This window comes from Homo sapiens, chromosome 7 (assembly GCF_000001405.40).
Source record: "Homo sapiens chromosome 7, GRCh38.p14 Primary Assembly".
Taxonomy (NCBI): domain Eukaryota; kingdom Metazoa; phylum Chordata; class Mammalia; order Primates; family Hominidae; genus Homo; species Homo sapiens.
In genome coordinates, this window is record NC_000007.14 from 44,714,168 (window position 1) to 44,723,237 (window position 9,070).

Sequence of the window (9,070 nt, forward strand, 5' to 3'; positions counted from 1 at the left end):
CCAAGTAGTCGCTCCTGGTGATAACATCACTATTGTAAAACCTAAGATAAGTGCTTGAGATATTCTGCAGACCCTGCACTAGATGGATCAGCTGGCACCACTCAGGTTGATAAACTGGCTCATGTGATCTTGGGGCCCCCACTCGGGAACTGACCTAGCACAAGAGGACAGTTCAGCTCCCTATGATTTAATCTCCAACCCAACCAATCAGCACTCCTGACTCACTGGCTGCCTCCCCCTACCCACCAAACTATCCTTAAAAACTCTGATCCCCAAATGCTCAAATGCTCAGGGACACTGACTTGAGTAATAATAAAATTTCAGGCTGGGTGCAGTGGCTCACGCCTGTAATCCCAGCACTTTGGGAGGCCAAGGCAGGTGGATCACCTGAGGTTAGGAGTTTAAGACCATCCTGGCCAGGGTGGGCTGCAGCCCCTCGGAGGCTCACTGCAACCTCTGCCTCCCAGGTTCAAGCGATTCTCCTGCCTCAGCCTCCCGAGTAGCAGGATTACAGGTGCCCACCAGCACGCCCGGCTAATTTTTGTATTTTTAGTAAAGATGGAGTCTCACTTTGTTGGTCAGGCTGGTCTCAAACTCCTGACCTCAGATTATCCACCTGCCTCAGCCCCCCAAAGTGCTGGGATTACAGGAGTGAGCCATCATGCCGGGCAATTTTTTTTTTAAAATATACATGGGTTTTTGCCATGTTGCCCAGGCTGGTCTCAAACTCCTGGGCTCAAGCAATCCACCCTCAGCCTCCCAAGTTCTGGGATTACAGGCATGAGCCATCACACTCAGGAGTTTGAGAACAGCCTGGCCAACGTGGTGACCAAACTGCGTCTCTACTAAAAATACAAAAAAATTAGCTGGGCATGGTGATGCATACCTGTCACTAGTTGGGTATTATTTGTTTGGGTCTGTTTCTGGGTTTGCTACTCTATGCATTGATCTTTGTCTTTATTCTTCACCAATACCACACTGTCTTTTTAGTTACGTAATGAATTTTTTATTTTTTTGAGACAGGGTCTCACTCCGTCAACCAGGCTGGAGTGCAATGGCGCAATCTCGGCTCACTGCAACCTCCTCCTCCTGGGTTCAAGTGATTTTCCTGCCTCAGCCTCCTGAGTAGCTGGGATTACAAGTGTGCACCACCATGCCCGGCTAATTTTTGTATTCTTGGTAGAGACAGGTTTTCACCATATAGGTCAGGCTGGTCTCGAACTCTTGACCTCAAGTGATCCACCTGCCTGGCTTCCCAAAGTGCTGGGATTGCAAGCATGAGCCACCGCACCCGACTGCCTACATGTTTTTTGTTTTTGTTTGTTTGGTTGGGTTTTTTTTTGAGATGGAGTCTCGCTCTGTCACCCAGGCTGGAGTGCAGTGGCGCGATCTCGGGCTCACTGCAAGCTCCACCTCCTGGGTTCACGCCATTCTCCTGCCTCAGCCTCCCGAGTAGCTGGGACTACAGGCGCCTGCCACCACGCCTGGCTAATTTTTTGTATTTTTTTTTTTTAGTAGAGACAGAGTTTCACCATGGTCTCGATCTCCTGACCTTGTGATCCGCATGCCTCGGCCTCCCAAAGTGCTGGGATTACAAGCGTGAGCCACCGCGCCTGGCCTGTTTATTTGTTCTTCGTTTTTTGTTTTTTAGGTGGAGTTTCACTCTTGTTGCCCAGGCTGGAGTGCAGTGTTGCGATCGCAGCTCACTGCAATCTCTGCTTCCCAGGTTCAAGAAATTCTCCTGCCTCAGCCTCCTGAGTAACTGGGATTACAGGCATGTGGCACCAAGCCCAGCTAATTTTTGTATTTTTAGTAGAGACGGGGTTTCTCCATGTTGGTCAGGCTGGTCTCGAACTCCCGACCTCATGTGATCCGCCCACCTCAGCCTCCCAAAGTGCTGGGATTACAGGCGTGAGCCACCATGCCTGGCCGGTTGGTTGTTTTTTAAGACAGTATCTGGCTTTATCGCCCAGGATGAAGTGCAGTGTTGTGATCATGGCTCATTGCAGCCTTGACCTCCCAGGCCCAAGCAATCCTCCCACCTCAGTCTCCTGAGTAGCTGGGACTACAGGTACATGCCACCATGCCCGGCTACTTTTTGTATTTTCTGTAGAAATGCATTTTCACACTGTTGCCCAGGCTACCTACATGTTAGGTTTTTTTTAAATTAATATTGAAACAGGGTGTCACTCTGTCACCCAGGCTGGAGTGCAGTGATGCAGTTTCAGCTCACAGCACCCTTGACCTCTCAGGTTCAAGTGTTTCTCAGGTTTCAGCCCCCCAAGTAGCTAGAACCACAGGCATGTGCCATCATAACTGGCTATATTTTTTGTTTGTTCTTTTGTAGAGATGGGGTCTTTTACGTTATGCAGACTAGTCTTGAACTCCTAGCCTCAAGCGATCCTCCTGCCTCAGCCTCCCAAAGTGCTTGCCAGGCAAGGTATCAGAGTCCAGCACCAGGAAGTTGTCGACTCACGGGTTAGTAGGAAGAATTTACTGACAACAGTATAGGTTTGAAAAAGGAAAGTTTATTAGAAAGGAAGAACGCTTCTGCCAGGCACGGTGGCTCAAGCCTGTAATCCTAGTACTTTGGGAGGCCAGAGCGGGTGGATCACCAGGTCAGGAGTTCGAGACCAGCCTGGCCAACATGGTGAAACCCTGTCTCTACTAAAAATGCAAAAATTAGCTGGTGTGGTGGCAGGCACCTGTAATTCCAGCTACTCAGGAGGCTAAGGCAGGAGAATTGCTTGAACCCAGTAGGCAAAGTTTGCAATGAGCCAAGATTGCGCCACTGCACTCCAGCCTGGGCAGCAGAGTGAGACTCCGTTTCAAAAAAAAAAAAAAAGTAAAGGAATAAAAGAATGGCTACTCCGTAGAAAGAGCAGCCCTGAGGGCTGCGGTTGCCCATTTTTATGGTTATTTCTTGATTATATGCTAAACAAGGGGTGGATTATTCATAAGCCACCTTTTTAGACCATGTAGGGTAACTTCCTATCGTTGCCATGGCATTTGTAAACTGTCATGGCACAGGTGGGAGTGTAGCAGTGAGGATGACCAGAGGTCACTCTCGTCACTATTTTGGTTTGAGTGGGTTTTGGCCAGCTTCTTTACTGTTTTATCAGCAAGGTCTTTATGACCTGTATCTTGTACCAACTTCCTATCTCATCCTGTGACTTAGAATGCCTAACCATCTGGGAATGCAGCCCAGTAGGTCTCAGCCTCATTTTTTACCCAGCCCCTATTCAAGATGCAGTTGCTCTGGTTCAAATGTCTCTGACATTTCCCTCCCCCTCTTTTAGAGGAGAACGCTTAATCCTAAAGGTTGCAGAGGGATGAAGATCCATCTTCTGTAACTTCTTCAGCCAGAATAGGGGTGATGACATTCCTGCCTAACTATTGGGTCTCTTGCATTTAGGTTAGAGAGGAACCCAGTCAGAAAACATTGATATGGCAAGGGCCATTCATAACTTTTGAGTTCCAACAAAAGGTGATTATCTGGGGCCAGGAGCAGTGGCTCAGACCTGCAATCCCAGCACTTTGGGAGGGTGAGGAGGGCAGATTGCTTGAGGTCAGGAGTTCATGGCCAGCCTGGCCAACATGGTGAAACCCTGTCTCTACTAAAAATGCAAAAATTAGCTGGGAATGGTGGCGTGCGCCTGTAATCCCAGCTGTTCCCGAGGCTGAAGCAGGAGAATCGCTAGAACCTGGGAGACGCAGGTTGCAGTGAACCGAGATTACGCCACTGCACTCCAGCATGGGTGACAAAGTGATACTCCATCTAAAAAAAAATAATAATAAGCTGGGAGCGGTGGCTCACGCCTGTAATCCCAGCACTTTGGGAGGCCGAAGCGGGCGGATCACGAGGTCAGGAGATCGAGACCACGGTGAAACCCCGTCTCTCCTAAAAATACAAAAAAAAAATTAGCCGGGCATGGTGGCGGGCGCCTGTAGTCCCAGCTACTTGGGAGGCTGAGGCAGGAGAATGGCGTGAACCCAGGAGGCGGAGCTTGCAGTGAGCCGAGATTGCGACTGCACTGCAGCCTGGGCGACAGAGCGAGACTCTGTCTCAAAAAAAAATAAATAAATAAAATAATAATAATAATAAGTAAGCTTATCCTCGTTCCTACACAAAGAGTACAACAATAATATATTCCAAAACAATAAAGCAAAATAAGTGAAATTATCCCAAGTAATCTAAATAAGAAGGCTTTCAATGAACTGGGCTACTGTTGGAACCAAGCTGATATGAAGTTGCTAGCTGATTCCAATGCATCCAGAATTAGAATACTGATCCAGATTTTTACATTACCCATCCCTTCTGTTTCTTTTGAGCTGCAGCAAGAGATTACTGGTTGGTTCACAGAAACAAGCAGTTAGTCTAAATTGCAGGAAAAAAACGTAAAAGCAACTGATGAGATTAGAATATAATAACAAGTGTACCATACATAGCTCTTGAAACTTAATTTTTCTCTCTCCAGTTTCCCCCATTTTCACTAAAGACAAATCATAGTAAGACTGATTTGCTTTATTATGCTTGGCCTGATTATTTGTATAAAGTCCAGCAAGAATAATTATTTGTCATATAGGCTTTTTAAATTAGCTTTAATGGAACTCTGTTCCATAGAAGGAATCTCATATAAAACTTTTTTTAGGCCAGGCGCAGTGGCTTATGCCTGTAATCCCAGCACTTTGGGAGGCCCAGGTGGGTGGATCACCTGAGATCAGGAGTTCAAAAACAGCCTGGCCAATATGGCAAAACCCCATCTTTACTGAAAATACAAAAACTAGTCGGGCATGGTGATGCACGCCTTTAGTCCGAGCTACTCGGGAGGCTGAAGCAGAAGAATCGCTTGAACCCAGGAGACAGAGGTTGCAATGATCTGAGATCGCGCCACTGCACTCCAGCCTAGGTGACTCTGTCTCGGGCAAAAAAATTTCTTTTAAAGCCGAGCCCAGCCATGGGTTTATACCATCAAGTACCTATGAGTTGGGTAAATTCCTCTCCTCTTTATGTTCCAAGATAACTTGGGCCTCCTGGGATTGTCAGAAGTGACATTCTGCCTGGGCGAGGTGGCTCATGCCTGTAATCCCAGCTACTCGGGAGACTGAGGCAGGAGAATCGCTTGAACCTGGGAGGCAGAGGTTGCAGTGAGCTGAGACTGTGCCATTGCACTCCAGCCTGGGTTACAAGAGTGAAACTCTGTCTCAAAAATAAATAAATAAAAATAAAAAATAAATAACCAATTCTTTTTTTTTTTTTTTGAGATGGAGTCTTGCTCTGTTGCCCAGGCTGGAGTGCAGTGGCATGATCTGCAACCTCTACCTCCTGGGTTCAAGCAATTCTCTGCCTCTGCCTCCCGAGTAGCTGGGATTACAGGCACCTACCACCATGCCCAGCTAATTTTTTTGTTTTTTGGTTTTTGGGGTTTTTTTTGAGATGGAGTCTCACTCTGTCACCCAGGATGGAGTGCAGTGGTGTAATTTTGGCTCACTGTAACCTCCGTTTCCTGGGTTCAAGCAATTCTCCTGCCTCAGCCTCCTGAGTAGCTGGGATTACAGGGGTGTGCCACTGTGCCCAGCTAATTTTTGTATTTTTAGTAGAGACGGGGTTTCATCATGTTGTCCAGGTGGGTCTTGAACTCCTGACCTCGTGATCTGCCCGCCTTGGCCTCCCAAAGTGCTGGGATTACAGGCGTGAGCCACCACACCTGGCCATTTTTTTGTATTTTTAATAGAGACGGGGTTTCACCATCTTGGCCAGGCTAGTCTTGAACTCCTGACCTTGTGATCCACCCACCTCAGCCTCCCAAAGTGCTGGAATTACAGGTGTGAGCCACTGCACCTGGCCTAAAATAACCAGTTTCTCCAATCGTGTCCTGTTGCAAAAACAGACTCTTTTTTTGGGGGGGTGCGGGGACAGAGTTTTGCTCTTGTCACCAGGGTGGAGTGCAATGGCATGATCTCAGCTTACTGCAACCTCCGCCTCCCAGGTTCAAGCAATTCTGCCGCCTCAGCCTCCCGAGTAGCTGGGACAGCATACAGGTGCCCAGCACCATGCCTGACTCATTTTTGTATTTTTAGTGGAGACAAGGTTTCACCATGTTGCCCAGGGTGGTCTTGAACTCCTGACTTTGGGTGATCCACCTACCTCGGCTTCCCAAAGTCCCGGGATTACAGGCGTGAGGCACTGCGCCTGGCTAAAAACAGATTCTTATTGCACTTATGCCAATAACTACATCACCATAAGTTAAGAATACTCACAACTAGTTTCCAAATTCTGGAGAAACCAGGTAGAGAGAAACAAATATGCTCTAAATTTTGTTCACTTTACTCAATTGTTAAAAGCTGTAAATAGCTAAAAAGAAATTTTTTCTTAACTCTGAAAAACAAAGCAAAGGATTAGTAACATTTTAAGCAAATGTTAAAAAAGATTACTTCAGGCTTCTATTAGTTTATTACATGCAGTTAACTCCTGTTTGATATTCATGAACATTTCAGCTCTTCATGAGAGTCCTGAAAGTATTTTCCTCTACTCTAATGTCACAATCTCAAAAGTTATCAGAAACCTGCGTTTAAGAACATCTGTTAGAGTTCTATAGTTGATTATAAACCACCTTCTAAAGAGGACCAAAACAAGACAACAATTATTTATGGATGACAAAATGTCTTAGGACGGCCACAGTCAACAACACAATTGACAAAGAAATTTGGTTACCTCTGTGGAATACAATGACTTTATGTAACAATTATAATTATTAATAACATATACTAAGTCATATCTGAATTATGAGTTTCCCATTATTTTGGAACACATACCAAGAACATATTTATAAAAATACAGCCTCAAGAAAGCCAAATACCATTTCAATTTGACAATGTTTCCTGTATGATTTTTGTACCAAATAAGACAAACTTTCACCTTTACATTAGTGTATTATTAATGTTAAACCCAATTCTCAATAAAACCTTATAGACATATCTACCCAACGTCAATGTTTAACCATAAGGTAAGATTCTCATAAACCTTTTATAACCCTTTACAAATTTTTGTTAAAGAGCATATTATAAGCAGGTTTTTGCTTTAAGAAAAACATATTTTGCTTTTATTCCAATGTTTAATTTACAGAAAAACTGAATAATATCCCCTTAACTTTAGCCAATATATTCACGCACAGAATTTTTTTTTTTTTTAGACAGAGTCTCACTCTGTCATCCAGGCTAAAGTGCAGTGGCATGATCTTGGCTTACTACAACCTCCACCTCCTAGGTTCAAGTGATTCTCATGTCTCAGCCCCCTGAGTAGCTGGGATTACAGGCTCATAGCACCATGCCCAGCTAATGTTTTTTAATTTTTAGTAGAGACTGGGTTTTGCCATGTTGGCCAGGCTGGTCTTGAACTCCTGACCTCAAGTGATCCACCCGACTCAGCCTCCTCCCAAAATGCTGGGATTACAGGCGTGAGCCACCATGTCTGGCCCATACACTGAATTTTTTTAACAAGATTATTATTTTTTTCTGTTTTTTTTTTTTTTTTCCAAGATGGAGTCTCGCTCTGTTGCCCAGGCTGGAGTGCAGTGGCACAATCTTGGCTCACTGCAATCTCCACTTCCCAGGTTCAAGCAATTCTCCTGCCTCAGCCTCCTGTGTAGCTGGGACTACAGGCGTGTGCCACCATGCACAGCTAATTTTTTTTGTATTTTTAGTATAGATGGGGTTTCACCATGTTGTCCAGGCTGGTCTCGAACTCCCAACCTCAAGTGATCCACCTGCCTTTGCCTCCCAAAGTGGTGGGATTACGGGAGTGAGCCACCATGCCCAGTCTACAGGATTAATTTTTTACAAACCTTCCACAATTTGCTTAAACCTTCAGCTTTATTCCATCTAACTTAATACAATCATTTAACCCATTAATCTAGTCAAAAAAATGTACATTCCCATGACTTCTTATAATCTTTTACCAAAAACACATTTCACTTTTTTACACACCTTGCATGTAAAATTGTTTCTTCAGTAGTCTCAATTACATGTTACAGTGTTAACTCTTAGTGACTTTTACTTTTACTGCCAACCTTTGTAAGTTCGGGATTTTAATGATGTAGTAGGTGTAGAGCCTAGGACTCAGACAGAAGTCCAGATAAGGTCTGACTCTTTCCAGCATCTAACTCCATGTGTGCCAGGCCTTACCTAGCTGTAAAGCAGGCAAGTTGTACAGTTGAGAGTCACAGTGGCTTTTTATGAAGCATTTAGGAGGCTTAATCACTTTTCTTTTCTTTTAGAGACAGAGTCTCACTCTGTCACCAGTCTGGAGTGCAGTGGCACGATCTTGGCTCACTGCAACCTCCTCCTCCCGGGTTCAAGCAACTCTCCTGCCTCAGCCTCCTGAGGAGCTGGGACTACAGGGGAGCGCCACCATGCCCAGCTAATTTTTGTATTTTTAGTAGAAACAGGGTTTCACCATGTTGGCCAGGAGGGTCTCAATCTCTTGACCTCGTGATCCGCCCCCTATTGGCCTCCCAAAGTGCTGGGATTACAGGCGTGAGCCACCGCGCCCGGCCTCCCCCCTCCCTTTTATAAGATAACTCTTATTTATTTATTTATTTATTTTTTGAGGTGGAGTCTCTCTCTGTAGCCCAGGCTGGAGTGCAGTGGCGCGATCTCGGCTCACTGCAAACTCCGCCTCCCGGGTTCACGCCATTCTCCCCTCTCAGCCTCCCGAGTAGCTGGGACTACAGGCGCCTGCCACCAAGCCGGGCTAATTTTTTTTGTATTTTTTTAGTAGAGACGGGGTTTCACTGTGTTAAGCCAGGATGGTCTTGATCTCCTGACCTCGTGATTCACCCGCCTTGGCCTCCCAAAGTGCTGGGATTACAGGCGTGAGCCACCGTGCCTGGCCGAGATAACTCTTTTTTAAATTTTTTTATTTTTTTTAGACAGCATCTCACTCTGTCACCCAGGCTGGGGTGCAGCGGCACACTCTTGGCTCACTGCAACCTCCGCCTCCCAGACTCAAGCAATTCTCCTGCCTCAGCCTCCTGAGTAGCTGGCACTACAGATGTGTGCCACCACACCC